This window comes from Homo sapiens, chromosome 1, assembly GCF_000001405.40.
Source record: "Homo sapiens chromosome 1, GRCh38.p14 Primary Assembly".
Taxonomy (NCBI): Eukaryota; Metazoa; Chordata; class Mammalia; order Primates; family Hominidae; genus Homo; species Homo sapiens.
The window spans coordinates 11,504,145-11,520,673 of NC_000001.11; the positions used below are offsets into that span (position 1 = coordinate 11,504,145).

The 16,529-nt window shown below is 46.0% G+C and overlaps 1 protein-coding gene across 10 annotated transcripts in view, besides 1 other annotated feature; it reads left to right on the forward strand.

The window, feature by feature from the left end:
- Positions 1-16,529, forward strand: part of DISP3 (dispatched RND transporter family member 3) — a 58,397-nt gene that overhangs the window by 24,990 nt on the left and 16,878 nt on the right. For all 10 annotated transcript variants that reach the window (NM_020780.2, XM_047426135.1, XM_011541830.3 and 7 more), the window contains 6 exons: positions 10,246-10,382; positions 11,225-11,359; positions 11,857-12,017; positions 13,319-13,458; positions 15,211-15,359; positions 15,575-15,736. In NM_020780.2, coding sequence (NP_065831.1) covers positions 10,246-10,382; positions 11,225-11,359; positions 11,857-12,017; positions 13,319-13,458; positions 15,211-15,359; positions 15,575-15,736 — 884 coding nt within the window. The remainder of the gene's footprint in view (positions 1-10,245; positions 10,383-11,224; positions 11,360-11,856; positions 12,018-13,318; positions 13,459-15,210; positions 15,360-15,574; positions 15,737-16,529) is intronic.
- Positions 11,094-11,721: an enhancer, noted in NCBI's record as "H3K27ac-H3K4me1 hESC enhancer chr1:11575295-11575922 (GRCh37/hg19 assembly coordinates)". NCBI's record gives its function as "activates a minimal SCP1, AML or CMV promoter by ChIP-STARR-seq in primed H9 embryonic stem cells {active_cell/tissue: H9 hESC(primed)}" and the evidence as "EXISTENCE:reporter gene assay evidence [ECO:0000049][PMID:30033119]".

Here is a 16,529-nt window from a genome sequence, read left to right on the forward strand (position 1 = left end):
TGAGCACTTACACTGTGCCACACACTGTTCGAAACCCTTTATACATACCAGCTCATTTAATTCTCACACCAACCCAATGAGGTGAGTGCTGTTATGATTATCTCCATTTTATAGTTGAGGAAACTGAGACATGGCAATTAGGTAAGTTGTCCACAATTTTAAAGCTCATCAGTGGTGGAATGAGATTCAAATCCAGACCCTCACCCTTTGTGTTTTTGTGCCAGTTATTGCACTGGGAGCCTTCTCCCTGCCTTATTTCTTTGTCAGGCAAGCTCCTATTCATCTATTAAGATCCAGCTTGGGCAGCATTGCCCAGAGGCTGGACTAAATGCCCACTACCTGCTATGGTTTGGATATGCTTTGTCCCCCGCAAAACTCAGTGCAGCTGTGTTGAGAGGTGGGGCCTAGTGGAAGATGTTTGGGTCATGGGGGTGGATCCTTCATAAATAGATTAATGCCATCTTGTGGGAGTGAGCTAGTTCTCACTCTTGCAGGAATGGATTAGTTCCTGAGAGAGCAGGTTGTTATAAAGCGAGGTTCCTCCTCTTTTTTGGTCCCTTTTGCCTGTTCCCCCTTTGACCTTCCTTCGTGTTATGATGCAGCACAAAAGCCTTCACCAGAAGCCAATGCCATGCTGTTGAACTTCCCAGCCTGCAGAACCATGAACTAAATAAACCTCTTTTCTTTATAAATTACCCAGTCTCAGGTATTCTGTTATAGCAACATAAATCAGACTGAGACACTACCTGTTTCCACAGTCCCCTTTCTTCTCCTTAAGGGAGGCAGGAAAGAGCATACACAGACTTTGGAGTCAGATATATCTTGGGTCCGATCCCAGTTATTCAAATTATTGTGAGTTTTAGTGAGCTTTTTCACCCCTCTGAGCTACAGTTTTATCACAGTGCTTCTCACTCTGTCTTTTAATTGTAACTCACAGTACATTCCTCCAGTCAACAACATCGGCATCACCTAGGGGCTTGTTAGAAATGCAGAAGCTCAAGTTCTGTCCCAGACCTGGCAGTATTTTCAGGTGATTTGTTTGCACATTTAAGTTTGAGAGAGTCTGGTTTAATTATCTGTCTCTACAGAATGTGAGTTTGTTGAAGACTGGGATTGTTGCTGGTTCAGTTTCTATGGGCCAAGCCCCAGCACAAGGCCAGTTACCCATTAGTAAGGATTTGTCAGGGGAGTGAATGAATAAATGAATGGAGATGCCTCAAGGAAAGGTACTTGGCTGGGTTGGGAAACTGAGAGGTGATGACTATAGAAGGACTTTCACGGTTTTAGGTACCAGTATTAACTCTGCCCAGATGTTTAGCTGCTGAGACAAATCCCTTGCCCTTAGGGAAAAAGCCACTCTTTTCTGTTTTCTCCCATTAGAGCGTCACAGCAGTGGTGACAATCCTGTAGACTTGACTTAAGCGCTTTTGGATGAACAAAATTCTTAAAATTACTCTGTTATTGGTTACCCAAGAGATGGCAACATGTACCTTGACTTATAACAGAATAATATAAATGATCACTTTTATTGCTTTTAATACTGGAATCTTAGAATGTGCTCACTGCATTTATTGAGCTTCAATTTTTTGCATTTATGTTGCATGCATTTTAATTCTTAATACATTTAAGCCCCAGAAGACATGACATCATTATTTTACAGAGTCTGTGTTCATTTATATTTATTCACATATTTACCGTTTCTGTTGGTGTTCAATACTTTGTATAATTTCATGTTTCCCTCTGGGATCATTTTCCTTGTGTCTAAAGAATTCTTTAGCATTTCTTTCAGTACAGGTTTGCTGGTGATAAATTCTCTGTTTTGTTTGCCTAGTAGACATCTTTATTTTACTTTCATTTTTGAAGCATATTTTTGCTGGTATAGAATTATAAATTGGCACTTATTTTCTTTTAATACTTTACCTGAAGATGTCACTCCATTGTCTTCTGACTTCCATCATTTCTGTAGAAAAGTAGGCTGTAAATCTTTTTTGTTGTGCCATTAAAAATTCTCTTTTTTCTGCTTTTAAGATTTCTTTGTCTTTGTTTTCACCAGTCTTACTGTGACGTATCTTAGTGTGTTTTCTTTGTGTTTGTTCTGTTTGGGGACACAGAGCTTCTTGAAGCTGTAGGTTGATGACCATAATCAGTTTTAAGAATGTCCTAGCTATTATCTCTTCAGATTTGCTTCTATCTTGTCTCTGTTTCCTCTTTTTTGCACTCTGATTACACAAATGTTAGATCTTTTCACTGAGCCCCATATGTTTTCAATGCTTTTTTTCTGGGTTTTATTTTTTTATTTTTTTTTCTATGCTTTGGTTTAGATATTCTAATTCACTGATCCTGCTTTCTATTTGTTGTCTCTAATCTGCCATTTAATGTCTATTGAGGTTTTAATGTTATTGTTCGGTTTTTCCTTTTTGAGAATTTCCATTTGAATCTCTTATAGATCTAAATCACTGGTGCAATTATTTTATTCATCATTTAGTTAATTTTGTCCACATTTTCCTCTCTGTTCTTAAACATATTAATTATAGTGTTTTAAAATTCTTACCAACTTTTAATATATGGATAACCTGCAGATTTGTTTCTGTAGTCTGTTCTTTCACTTGGTTTGGGATCCTGTGTTCCTGCCTGTGGGTATACCTGGTAATTTTTATGTTTTTATTTTTATCTTTTTGAGACAAGGTGTCACTCTCATTAAGGCTGAAGTGCAGTGGCATGGTTATAGCTCACTGCAGCCTGAAACTCCTGGGCTCAGGTAATCCTCCCATCTCAGCCTCCTGAGTAGCTAGGTCTACAGGCATGTGCCACCATGCCCAGCTAGTTTTTTGTTTTTGTTTTTGTTTTGAGACAGCGTTTCACTATGTTGCCCACACTGGTCTCAAACTCCTGGCCTCAAGTGGTCCTCCCACCTTGGCCTCTCAAAGTGTGACTTTTATTCAGTGATGAACATTATGTGAAAAAAACACACACACACAGAGGTCCAGACGATGTTATTTCCTCCAGAGAAAATTTATCCTTCACTTCAGAAGGCACATAGAGTCGTGGCTGATTACCTTAAACGGGCAGTGACCACACTGAGAGTTGAGGATGGTTTGCAATCCTGGAAAGTCTCAGTCTACCTCTAGTTTGCCCTAGATTCTCTAGGATTTTCAACTGAGAGCTTGGTGTATTCTACAGAGTCCTTTCCCCTGATAGGTTCCAAACTCTAATCTTTTATCTCTCAAAAGCTGCTAAAAAAAATCACAACAAAGACAAAAATTCCACTCTGCTTTTTCCGAGGCTTTCTGCTTAGGTTTTTTTGGCTTCAGGCCCCACACAGCCCCAGACTTCTGCAGAAGTGCTGAGGGAAAACCTGGCCATGTGTTCTGCTGATCTGCAAGTGTCTGCCCAAAGCTCTGCTAGCTTATCTGACTCCCAGCCAAGTTTTTCAGCCTTCTGCCCATGTTTAGAATCAGCAAATGCCTCCAGGGTAAAAATGGCTGTAGAAGGGCAGCTTACCTTTCCTAGGTTCTTTCCTTTCTGGAGTCTTAGCCCTCTAATTCGATTACTTCAGCAGCTCTCTACTGTCATCACAGATAGTTTCTGAATTTTAGCAGACATTTTAGTAGTTTTAGGTAAGGATACTGGTCTTCCATGAGCTATTTCTTTCAACTTGAGAGTAAAAGTATGGGCCTATGTCTTTTTATAATCAGCATCTAGTACAGGACCCAGAATCTAGAAGATACTCTATAAATGCTTTTCAAATTAATGTGTGAATGAATAAATGATTGATTTTCTACTCTAACAAAAGGATAGTTAACCTATTTAATTCAACAAAGTAGATAATCCAGAGATCCTTTCAACTTGGCTTTTTAAAGTCCTGTTTACATTTTTAACAACTTTATTGAGGCATAGTTGACATACAACCAACTTCACATACTTTACAATTTGATTAGTTTTGACATGTGTGTATACACTGGGAAACCCTCACCACCATCAAGACAGTGAACACTAGCAGGGTACCGTAGTTCATGCCTATAATCCCAGCTACTTGGAAGGCTGAGGCAGGAGGATCCTTGAGGCCAGGAGGTTAAGACCAGCCGGGGAAACAGCAAGACCCTCTCTGTAAAAACACACAAAAATTAGCCAGGCATGGTGACACATGCCTGTAGTCCTTGCTACTTTGGAGGCTGAGGTTGGAGGATCCCTTGAGCTGAGGAGTTCAAGGCTGCAGTGAACTATGATTGGGCTACTGCACTGTAGCCTGGGTGGCAGAGCAAGACCCTGTCTCTTAAAAAAAAAAAAGAATTGTCAAATTTGTTGGTATAAAATAATTTATAATATTTCCCTATTATCTTTTTAATGTTTGTAGAAATTGTAGTGGTGTCACCTTCCGTGTGTCTTCTTTTTTTTCATGATCAGTCTGGCTAGAAGCTTATCAGTTTTATTGATGTCAAAGAACTAGCTTTTGGTTTCATTGATTTTCTTTTTTAAGAATTAGATTTATTTATTTTTATTTTTAATTTTCATGAGCACATAGTAGGTGTATATATTTATGGGGTACATGAGATGTTTCAATAGAGGCCTGCAATGTGAGGTAAGCACATCAATGGGGAATGGGCTTTCCATCCCCTCAAGCATTTATCCTTTGAGTTATAGACAATCCAATTACACTCTTATTTTAAAATGTACAATTAACTTATTATTGACTGTAGTTACCCTATTGTGCTACCCATTTCAATGATTTTCTCCATTGCTTTTCTGTTTTCTATTTCCTTGATTTCTGCTCTGATCTTTATTATTTTCTTTCTTTGGTTTATGCTACATTTCATTTTCTCTTGTACTACTTTCTTAAAGTAGAAGCTAAGGCCATCGATTTGAAACTTTTCTTTCCTAATAGAAGTGTTTAATGCTATAAAATTCCCCTTAAGTATGACTATTTTAGCACATTTCAAAATTTTGATGTGTTGTTTTCATTTTCATTCAGTTCAAAATACTTTCTATTTTTCCTTTTGATCTCTTCTTTGACCCGTGTATAACTTAAAAGTGTGTTATTTAGTTTTCGAATATTTGGGAATTTTTCAGGCTTTTTGTTGCTAATTTTTAATTTAATTTCATGATGGTTAGAGAACATATTTTGTGTGATATAAGTTCTTTTAAATTTATTGAGTCTTGTTTTATGGTTCAGTATGTGGTCTTTCTTGCTGAATGTTCCCTGTATACTTGAAAAAAAAAAGTTCTGTTTTTGCATGAAATGTTCTATAAGTCTTAATTAGATCAAGTTCATTGATTGTGTTGTTCATGGTCTTCTATATCCTTACTGATTTTCTGTCTAATTTTTCTAGCAATATTGAGAGAGAGAGATATTGAAATATCTATCTACAATCGGGGCATTGTCTATTTCTTTTTTCAGTTCTGTTAGTTTTTACTTCATGTATTTTAAAACTCTGTTATTAGCTATAAAAACATTTAGGATTGTAGTTTTGATGATCATTTTGAAATTATCTTCTTTGCCCCTAGTTATATTCTTTCCTCTGAAATTTACTTTATTTTTTATGAATATAACCAATCCAGCTTCTTTTTTGGTTCATGTTAGCATGGTATATCATTTTCTATCCCTTTGCTTTTATCCTATTCGTGTCCTTATATTTAAAGTGGGTTTCTTGTAGTCAGCTAGGTCTTGACTTTTTTAAAGGTCTCCAGGTGGCTCACGCCTGTAATCCTAGCACTTTGGGAGGCCGAGGCAGGTGGATCCCAAGGTCAGGAAATCGAGACCAACATGGCTAACATGGTGAAACCCATGTTACTAAAAAATACAAAAAATTAGCTGGGCGTGGTGGTGGGTGCCTGTAGTCCAAGCTATTGGGGAGGCTGAGGGAGGAGAATGGCGTGAACCCGGGAGGTGGAGCTTTCAGTGAGCTGAGATCGTGCCACTGCACTCCAGCCTGGGTGACAGAGTGAGACTCTGTCTCAAAAAATAAATAAATAAATAAATAAAGGTCTCTGATACTTTCTGCCTTTTACTTGGGGTCTTTAAGCCATTTACAGTTAATGCAATTATTAATATGGTTAGACTTAAGTATATTTTATTCTATTTCTCCCATATGCTTCTTGTTTCCCCTTTCCTGTATTTTGCCTCTTTTGAACTATTGAATGTTTTTTATGATTCTATTTTATCTCCTTTGTTGGCTTTTATGTTGTAACTCTTTTAGTAGTTGCTTTAGGGTTTATAGTATACATCTTTAAATTATTACAGTGTATCTTCAAATGATAGTATATCATTTCATATGTAGTATAAGAGCTTTACAATAATATACTACTATTTCTTCCCTCCTGGCCTTTATGTTATTGTGGTTATGCATTTTATTTTAATGTATATTATAAACCCCACCCTACATTATTTTTGTTTAAACTGTCAATTATCTTTTAAAGAGATTTAAATAAATAAGAAAATTGTATGTATTTATTTATGTCATTACCATTTTTGTATAGACCCATATTTCCCTATTTCCATCTGTTACCATTTTCCTTCTTCCTGAGGACTTCCTTTAACATCTCTTATAGGCCGAGCACAGTGGCTAACACCTGTAATCCCACTTTAGGAGGCCAAAGTGGGAGGATTGCTTGAGGCCAGGAGTTCAAGACCAGCCTGGGCAACATAATGAGACCCCATCTGTATTAGTTCCTTTTCACACTGCTGATAAAGACATACCTGAAACTCGGAGAGAAAAAAAAAGAGATTTAATTGGACTTTCAGTTCCACATGGCTGGGGAGGACTCAGAATCATGGCAGGAGGCAAAAGGCACTTCTTAGATGGCGACAGCAAGAGAAAATGAGGAAAAAGCAAAAGCAGAAACACCTGATAAACCCATCATATCTCATGAGACTTATTCACTACCATGAGAATAGCATGGTAAAGACCAGCCGCCATGATTCAATTACCTCCTCTTGGGTCCCTCCCACAACACATGGGAATTCTGGGAGATGCAATTCAAGTTGAGATTTAGGTCAGGACACAGCCAAATCATATCATTCCACCCTGGCCCCTCCAATTCTCATGTCCTCACATTTTAAAACCAATCATGCCTTCCCAACATCCTCCAAAGTCTTAACTCATTTCAGCATTAACCCAAAAGTCCACAGTCCAAAGTCTCATCTGAGACAAGGCAAGTCCCTTCTGCCTATAAGCCTATAAAATCAGAAGCAAGCTAGTTACTTCCTAGATACAATGGGGGTACTGGTATTCGTTAAATACAACCATTCCAAATGGGAGAAATTGGCCAAAACAAAGGGGTTACAGGGCCCATGCAAGTTTGAAATCCAGCAGGGCAGTCAAATTTTAAAGCTCCAAAATCATCTCCATTGACTCCAGGTCTCACATCCTCACATCCAGGTCACACGGATGCAAGAGGTGGGTTTCCATGGTCTTGGGCAGCTTTGCCCCTGTGGCTTTACAGGGTACAGCCTCCTTCCTAGGTGCTTTCATGGGCTGGCATTGAGTGTCTGCAGCTTTTCCAGGCACATGGTGCAAGCTGTCAGTGGATCTACAATTCTGGAGTCTGGAGGACAATGACCCTCTTCTCACAGCTCCACTAGGCAGTGGCCCAGTAGGGACTCTGTGTGGGGACTCTGACCCCACATTTCCCTTCCATACTCCCCTAGCAGAGGTTCTCCATCAGGGCTTCACCCCTGCAGCAAACTTTTGTGTGGGCATTCAGACGTTTCCATATATCTTCTGAAATGTAGGTGGAGGTTCCCAAATCTCAATTCTTGACTTCTTTGCATCCACAGACTCAACACCATGTGGAAGCTGCCAAAGCTTGGGGCTTCCACCCTCTGAAGCCACAGCCTGAGCTGTACATTGACCCATTTCAGCCACAGCTGGAGCGGCTGGGACACAGGGCACCAAGTCCCTAGGCTGCACACAGCGTGGGGACCCTGGGCCTGACCCATGAAACCAATTCTTCCTCCTGGGCCTTCAGGCCTCTGATGGGAGGGGCTGCCATGAAATTCTCTGAAATTCTCCATTGCAGAGAATGTTAATCCCCATGGTCTTGGGGATTAACATTAGGCTCCTTGCTACTTATGCAAATTTCTGCAGCTGGCTTGAATTTCTCCCCAGAAAATGGGTTTTTTTTTTCCATTGCATTGTCAGGCTGCAAATTTTCCAAACTTTTATGCTCTACTTCCCTTATAAAACTGAATGCCTTTAACAGCACCCAAGTCACCTCTCAAATGCTTTGCTGCTTAGAAATTTCTTCTGCCAGATACCCTGAATCATCTCTCTCAAGTTCAAAGTTCCACAGATCTCTAGGGCAGTAGCAAAATGCCACCAGTCTCTTTGCTAAAACATAACAAGAGTCACCTTTGCTCCAGTTCCCAACAAATTCCTCATCTCCATCTGAGACCACCTCAGCCTGAATTTTATTGTCCATATCACTATCAGCATTTTGCACAAAGCCATTCAACAAGTCTCTAGGAAGTTCCAAACTTTCCCACATTTTCCTGTCTTCTTTTGAGCCCTTCAAACTGTTCCAATCTCTGCCTGTTACCCAGTTCCAAAGTTGCTTCCACATTTTCAGGTATCTTTTCAGCAGAGCCCCACTCTACTGGTACCAATTTACTGTATTAGTCCGTTTTCATGCTGCTGATAAAGACATAACTGAAACTGAGAACAAAAAGAGGTTTAATCAGACTTACAGTTCCGCATGGCTGGGGAGGACTCAGAATCATGGCAGGAGGCAAAAGGCACTTCTTACATGGGGACGGCAGGAGAAAATGAGGAAAAAGCAAAAGCGGAAACCCCAGATAAACCCATCAGATCTCGTGAGACTTATTCACTATCATGAATAAGTCTAGCACGGGAAAGACCGGCCCCCATGATTCAATTACCTCCCCCTGGGTCCCTCCCACAACACATGGGAATTCTGGGAGATACAAGTCAAGTTGAGATTTGGGTGGGGACACAGCCAAAGCCTATCACCATCTCTACTAAAAAATAAAAAAAATCGGCCAGGCATGGTGGCATGCATCTGTAGTCTAGCTACTCAGGAGGCTGAGGTGGAAGGATTGTTTGAGCCCAGGAGTTAGAGGCCATAGTGAGCTATGATCATGCCATTGCAGTCAAGCCTGGGTGACAAAGTGAGACCCTGGCTCAAAAAATAAATAAATAAATAAAATCTCTTTTAGTACAAGTATACTGGATATGAATTATTTCAGTTTTTGTCTATCTAAAAAAGTTTTCTATTTTGCCTTTGTTTTTTAAATGTATTTTTGCTGGGTATAGAATCCTGGGCTGACTGTTTTCCCCACTGTCTGCAAAGGATGTTGATCCCCTGCCTTCCCACGTACCCTGTTTTTAATGGGAAGTCTGCTGTCAGCCTTGTCTTTGTTCCTATGTGTCTTTTTCTCAGGCTGCTTTTTAAGATTTTCTTTTGGTCACTATTTTTGAGCAATTTGGTTATGATGTGCATTGCAGTTTTTTTGTGCTGGGGCTTCATTGCTGAAGCTTCCTGTATCAGTGGGTTTATAGTTTTCATCAAGTTTGGAAATTTTTCAGCCTCCTTTGGGGAGTCCAATATCTCATATTTTAGGCTGCACTGAGGACTGGAAACTCTCAAAGCACTAAGCCAGGATAAGCATAGGACTCATTTTGTTTCTCATCTCTCAGGGATCGTCATCCTTGGTTGCCTTGTTTCATACATTTTTGTTAGTTCCAGTGAGAAGATAAATATGGACTCCATCTTGTTACTCCATCTTGGCCAGAAGCAGATGTCACTTATGTTTGTATTTTAAGACACAGTTTGACCAGCCTGGTTATGTTTTTTTTTTTTTTTAATTAAAAATAACTTGTGTTAAGGACACATTGAATAGCAGTGTAAAACTGGATATCTAGCAGCCAGTTTGAATTTAGAACTTGGCCATAGATATGGAGAATTGGAAGATGACATAGAAGCTGATTATAATTGATCACAATCTGCGTAGAGCAGTGGTTCTCAACCTTGACCCTACATTTGAATCACCTGAGAGAGTTAAAGAGCACTGATGATTCAGACCCACCCCAGCAGTTCTGATCTAATTTGTCTGGAGCCTGGCCTGGACATCAGGATTATTGGAAGCCCCCAGGTGATTTTGATATCCAACCAAGGTAGAGTCACAGGTGAAGTGGACAGCTCCTGATACTCCTCTACATGTTCACATGTTCACAGCCATCTCTAATCCTCTTCCTGTCATTCTTTTCTCCACGTCCTCCCTTCCCCCAGCAAAGTCCAGGTTCTCTATGGGGGGACAGACCTGTTTGACTATGAAGTGCGCAGGACGTTCAACAATGACATGCTCCTGGCCTTCATCAGCAGCAGCTGCATTGCTGCCCTGGTCTACATCCTCACCTCCTGCTCAGGTAGGGCTTCTCTCAAGCCAGCCCCCTCCTCCCCTCCCAGGGTGCTCCTGTCTGCCCAGAGCCTGCCTTCTCAAGAATGCTGCAATACTCTTGAGCCCAGCATGTCAGAGCTGGGGACACAGGGATATGCACACAAATCATCTTCCAACCCCAAACAGGCAGACTGAGGCCTGGAGGCAGGTTGGGCTGTACCAGCCCGGGTCACACCCTCTACCCTGGGCCCCTGCACAGTTGGACCTTTTGCCTGTTGACCATCTTTCTCCTATTGATAGCCTTGTGCTGGGGAGTCTGGGGTATTGTATTCCTTTGTGGATTACTTTGTAGCCTATTTTGGAGTCCCAAGTCAACTGCCATCTGCCCCCCGATCACTTTTTCACCTCCGTGTGCCCCTGGATACTAGCTGCTGCTTACTCCTGTCTGTATACAGTAGGCACACTCTACTGCCCAAGCAGACAAGACAATGGTAATACTTTCCAAAATGGAAAAGACATTCATTCGTCCATACAACAGATATTTACTGGGCACCAAACTATATGCCAGATGCTGTAAGGTGCCAGGGATCCAGACACAGTTCCTACCCCCAGGTAATATGTAATGTTCACAAGGCTCTTGAGGTAAGGTCTGCAAAGAGGAGGACAGTCTGCCACTTGGGCCTCCTGCCCGGTGCCCTTTTTGGGTGTGGAAAACAGAATTGGCCCTGTGCCTGTGCTGGGAACAGAGTGGTGAATGGTGACCAGGGTTGGGGAGAAGAGACAGGACCCAGCTGAGGTCAGGGACTCTAGTGGGGTTTGTGTCCCATGAGGGTCCCCCCACCGTCTCCCTGTGTCTCTTACCCTGCCCAGTGTTCCTGTCCTTCTTTGGGATTGCCAGCATTGGTCTCAGCTGCCTGGTGGCCCTCTTCCTGTACCACGTGGTCTTTGGTATCCAGTACTTGGGCATCCTGAATGGGGTGGCCGCCTTCGTGATCGTGGGCATTGGTGAGTCGCCTCTGTTGTCATGGCAGTGCGCCTCCCACATGGGAAGTCTGCCCCATCCCCTTTCTCCCTGGATACAAAGCCTGGCTTCCCTGGGGGCTCTACACAGCGCCTGCTGAGGCCTAGAGCCTTGGAGTGCAGGGTTAGAATGTGGGTGGTGGGCGGATCCTTGGCATAGGGTGAGTGGAGAGAGCAGGAAGGTTTGCTGGATGGAGGTGAGGATGGTGGGAAAGGCCCAGGAAGTGTGGGAAGGAGGTCAGGATGTGGGGGAAGGCGCCTAGCTCTGGGTGAGGTTGGGGCCAAGGAGTGTGGTGGGTGGGGCTTGAACTCTTGGTGGGAGGAGCCAATCAGAGGGGTCTCTCCAAACTGTAAGCTCAGAAGCAGGACTCCTGCAGCCTGACCTCCCAGGAGGCCACTCACACTTGGTCTAGGGCCAGGTTGGGCCTAATCCTGGAGACAGCAGAATAATCCTGAGCCTGGCTGGGGACTCCCTCCCACAGGTGTGGACGATGTCTTTGTGTTCATCAACACCTACCGCCAGGCCACCCACCTGGAAGACCCACAGCTGCGCATGATCCACACCGTCCAAACTGCAGGCAAGGCCACCTTCTTCACCTCCCTGACCACAGCCGCCGCCTACGCAGCTAACGTCTTCTCCCAGGTGCGGACCTGTCCTCCATTCCTGTCCTGGCCTCCCACACGCTCATGCATACCTAGCCGCTGGTCTCTGCCCTTCCCACCACCGCTTGAGTGGCCATATAGCCTTCACCTCAAGGTACTTGCCCTGGCTCTAGAGTTCATTTTTGTCACGAATCACCCATTACCCAAACTTAACAAGTGGGAATATTATAATAATCCAGACAGCATGCATTAGGGATCCTCAGTAGTAGTAATCCAGCCTCCACCCTGGAGGACATTTGGCAGTTTCCAAAGCTCTTTCTCGTTTAATCTTCATTACCACGGTAATTGACAAAGGTACAATTACCATCCTATTTTCCAAAAAAGAAACTTGGCCCCTGAGAGGTAAAGTGACTTCCTCAGGATCACACAGCAGATAAGTGAGAAGCCTGACCAAGTCCATAGTGATTCCCCTTCTGCCTGCTTCTGGCTGCATTTTCCTCCCTTGTGCTGACTTCCTCTTGCTGCCTCTGAGTGGGGCTTAGGAGAAGGCATTGAGCCCAGGCTGGGTCCTTGGTACAGAAAGACAGTGAATTGGCCCAAGTCTTTGAGAAACTTTACGACCTGGGCTGAGTAGCCCCTCTGGAAACCAGTAGATGCTTTAGGATTATCCAGGTCCTTCTAGAGAATCACTTCTAGAAGGTAGGCAGAGCTGGGTTCAGCTTCTGCAGTGTGACCTTGGGCAGGCTGTGTGACCTCTCTGAGCCTCGCTTTCCTCATGTGTGGATTATCCAGGGACTGAGATGCGAGGATGATTGTGAAAGTGTTTCACAGAGTGTAGGCTGCTCTGTTGGTGGCTACAGCTTCCTTCCAACTAGCACCTCCCTGTGTGGTCCCTGTCATACTTCTGGAACATACCCATTGCTCCTAGTCCCCAGGGTCCCTGCCTCCGTCATGTGGCAGCATTCTCTCCCTCCCCCTCACTAGCACATGGCCTGGTCTAGCGGGATGTGTCTTCCTCTGTCCCCCATTCATTCGCGTAATGACAGCTACTGACCACTGCCTCTGTGCCAGGCACTGTTCTGGGCAGTGGACTGCAGATAGACAAGAGCCTCCACTTGAGGTGGGGACCCTTCCTGTGCTGCTGTGTCCTCTGACACCAGCCCTTGGCTCCTGGTGTCCTGTGAGGCTAGTGCCTGGCATTCTGGCAGCCTGGGCCTCCTCCTACTGCCTCAGTCTGGGCCAGATCTGGGGTCCTGAGTGTCTCTGGCTGCAGGGGGCACCCAGGCCCCCTGACTGCAGGTCCAACCTGTCCCACATCCCTCTCTTCCTTTCCATCACCAGATCCCAGCCGTCCACGACTTTGGCCTGTTCATGTCTCTCATCGTGTCCTGTTGCTGGCTGGCCGTGCTTGTCACCATGCCTGCAGCTCTGGGCCTCTGGAGCCTCTACCTGGCACCACTGGAGAGCTCCTGCCAGACCAGGTAAGTCGGGCAGGGCCTCCACCCACAGCAGGGTATCCACAACAGGCCTCTATGAGCCACTCAGTGCAGCAACCTCTCTTCCAAAAGCCTTCTGTATGACCAGTCCTTTGCTAGGCAGGGAACAGGGAAGGAGAAGATGCTTCCATCCAATAACTGCAATTTGGGATCACCAGTGTCACCAGGAAGTGAGCAAAGCACTTGTGTCCAAGATCTTATGACATCACCATTCACTTCCCAAAGAACCCTGGGAGCTGGGTTCTCTTGCTGTGCCCATTTTACAGATAGAAAACAATGACTCAGGGAGGTTGGGCAGCTTTTTCAAGGTCACCTATTTAGTAGGCAGTAGAGCCTGGATTTAAACCCAAGAACTCTGCTTCCAGATCCCATGCTCTTAGCCACCATGTTAAGTGTCCTCAGGTTCTCATCTTTAGATGTAGTGAGACGTGTGCAGAGTTGAACGGGTCAGTTCAGAGTTGCTGCTGGAGGTTTAGGGGGAAAGACCTTGTGGGCCTGGTGGTTGGGAAGATGGAGGTGGATGGTGGTGGAGTTGAATCAGGCCTGGGTGGCTGCCTGGGGTTGGGAGGATGGAGGGTCTCTGGGCTTGGAACAGGGCCCACTCATTGTGATAAAGGCCTTGGTCAGTCGTGTTCAGGGACCCATGACAATGTCCGCTCGCCCATGGTGAGCCCCAGAGGGGCTGGAGGGAGAGAAGGGCCCAGCGAGGAGCTTAGACTTGGGCCTGAGATGGACTCCTCAGCTCTCCCCACTCACATCTTCACCCTTCAGGACCCCGCTGTGGTGGTGCAGGTTGGCACTGCACACAGGTGCCCCGGCGGAGGCACTGCTCTGTGTACCATGGGTGCTCAGATTTGACTGTTTTCCGTGACAGTTTCATGATATAGAAGCAGCGTCATGGGGAAAGGGCGCCTTTTCTGATCTCTACAGAGATGCAAAATAAGCCCCACGTCTGCCCCCCGGCCTGGGGCTGTCTCCCCAGTGGTCCTATTGGGCACAGTCGTCTTCCCAGTCAGTCAGATGTGGGCTTCAAGCCCAGCCTCCTCCCTCGGCAGCCATGAAACCCTGGACAGGTGACTTCACCTCTGCATCTCAGTTTCCTTTTCTGTGAAATGGTTGTGATGTCAGCAGCACTGTGATACCTGGGTTCATCTGTGTGTGAGTCCCATGAGGATTAAGTGAGATAATCCACGCAGGGCTCCCAGCTCACTGCTGGCACGTGGCAGTGGTATTAGCCACACACACAGCGCTCGTATCAGCCGTGAGGATTATTCTGGTGCCCAGTCCCTAGGTTGAGCTGCGTCTCTCATGTGTTCACTCCAGCTGAGACCTCGGCCACGCAGCTACACCCTCAGCCCAGCCCTGTTCCCTCCTCCTGGCTCCCCTGAGTATTAAGTTGGAGGCAGAGCCCCTGGGCCACACAGCAGCAGAGGAATGAGTCCCCTGATTTGATCACCTTAGTGCCCGGGCCACTGTGTGTTGTCATCCCCTCTTCCTGGGTAATGTTTGCTGTCACCATTTGTCTCTCTGGAGGAAGACTGGCACCTGAGGGCCCTGGGGTAGATGGTACTAGAAAGAAACCAGGTGACCAGCTCCCAGAAGTCTGGGGTGCTCATCCTGTGTGTGACGTCAGCAGCACTGTGATACCTGGGTTCATCTGATCCTCAGGGCCCTGCCCCACCCTCCCTGGGTACCCAGGACCCTCTGGTTCACCCCTGTCCCCTACTCTCTCCACAGCTGCCACCAGAATTGCAGCCGGAAGACCTCCCTGCACTTCCCCGGAGACGTGTTTGCCGCTCCCGAGCAGGTTGGAGGCAGCCCTGCCCAGGGCCCCATACCCTACCTGGATGATGACATCCCCTTGCTGGAGGTCGAGGAAGAGCCAGGTGAGAGCTGGCACAGGCCTGCCCTACTGACCCCAGTGAGACCCAGCGCTGCCTCTGCCAGGGGAGTAACACTTGACAAGTTGGTCCTGAGGCTGGGGGCCGGACAAGATGGCCTGTGGGCTTCCTCACCAGGCATCTGGGCTTCCCTGGAAGCGAGCGTGGACCACAGTGGGCTTTGATTCAGGCTCTGACGGGCCACTGCTCTGCCCTGGCAGTGTCACTGGAGCTGGGAGACGTGTCCCTGGTGTCTGTGTCCCCCGAGGGTCTGCAGCCAGCCTCCAACACGGGCAGCCGCGGCCATCTCATCGTGCAGCTGCAGGAGCTGCTGCACCACTGGGTCCTGTGGTCAGCCGTCAAGAGCCGCTGGGTGATTGTGGGTAAGTGGGCCCTCCGGCCCTGCCCCCTGTCTCACAGCTCCACCCCCAAAACACACAGGAACTGGGAGCCCACCCCCTCTCGCAGATGCCCCAGGGTCAGAGGCCTGGGCTGGGGTCTCTCCCTCTCTGACCCCCCCTCTTTCCTGTGCAGAATGAAGCCGGTCATGGCGGCTGTTACTCATTGGCCCCTGCTGTGTGCCAGCCACTCACACTGGGCAGTAGCACAGAGCATGCCACACATGGGCCCTGGAGTTAGACCCACTTGAGTCTGAGTCCCAGTTTGGCCGCGTCCTAGCTGTGTGAATTTGGCTATTCCAGTCCGTTTAGCACTCAGTTCCTATTCTGTAATTGAGGATGAGAACGGTGGCTAGGAAGGCAGCTGTCAGTGGAGAGTATGTATAAAGACCTCAGCCCAGCGCGTGGCGTGCGGTAAGTGCTCAGTGAATGTCAAGTGCTATTATCATTGTCATCTTCGACACTATTTCAGAGTTGTGTGAGATCAAGTAGTGCACCAGCTCGTCATAAACTATGAGGTGCTCTGAGGTGGTGGCCGCCTCTTGTCCAGGAGTATTAGATTATAGCTTATAGTCAAACCCCATGGGACACCACAAAGCAACTGATCCCTGGCCCTGTAGGACCATCCCCAGCAAGCTTTGCCCACGGGCTGGCATGCAGGGCCTTCCCCCGCACCCTTAGGACACCCGCCCCCCAACAACCAGAGCAGTTGTCTCCCGGCACTTTGGAGCCCCACTGGGAACAGACCAGCTGGGCCCAGCCCCGCCTGGTGTAGCGC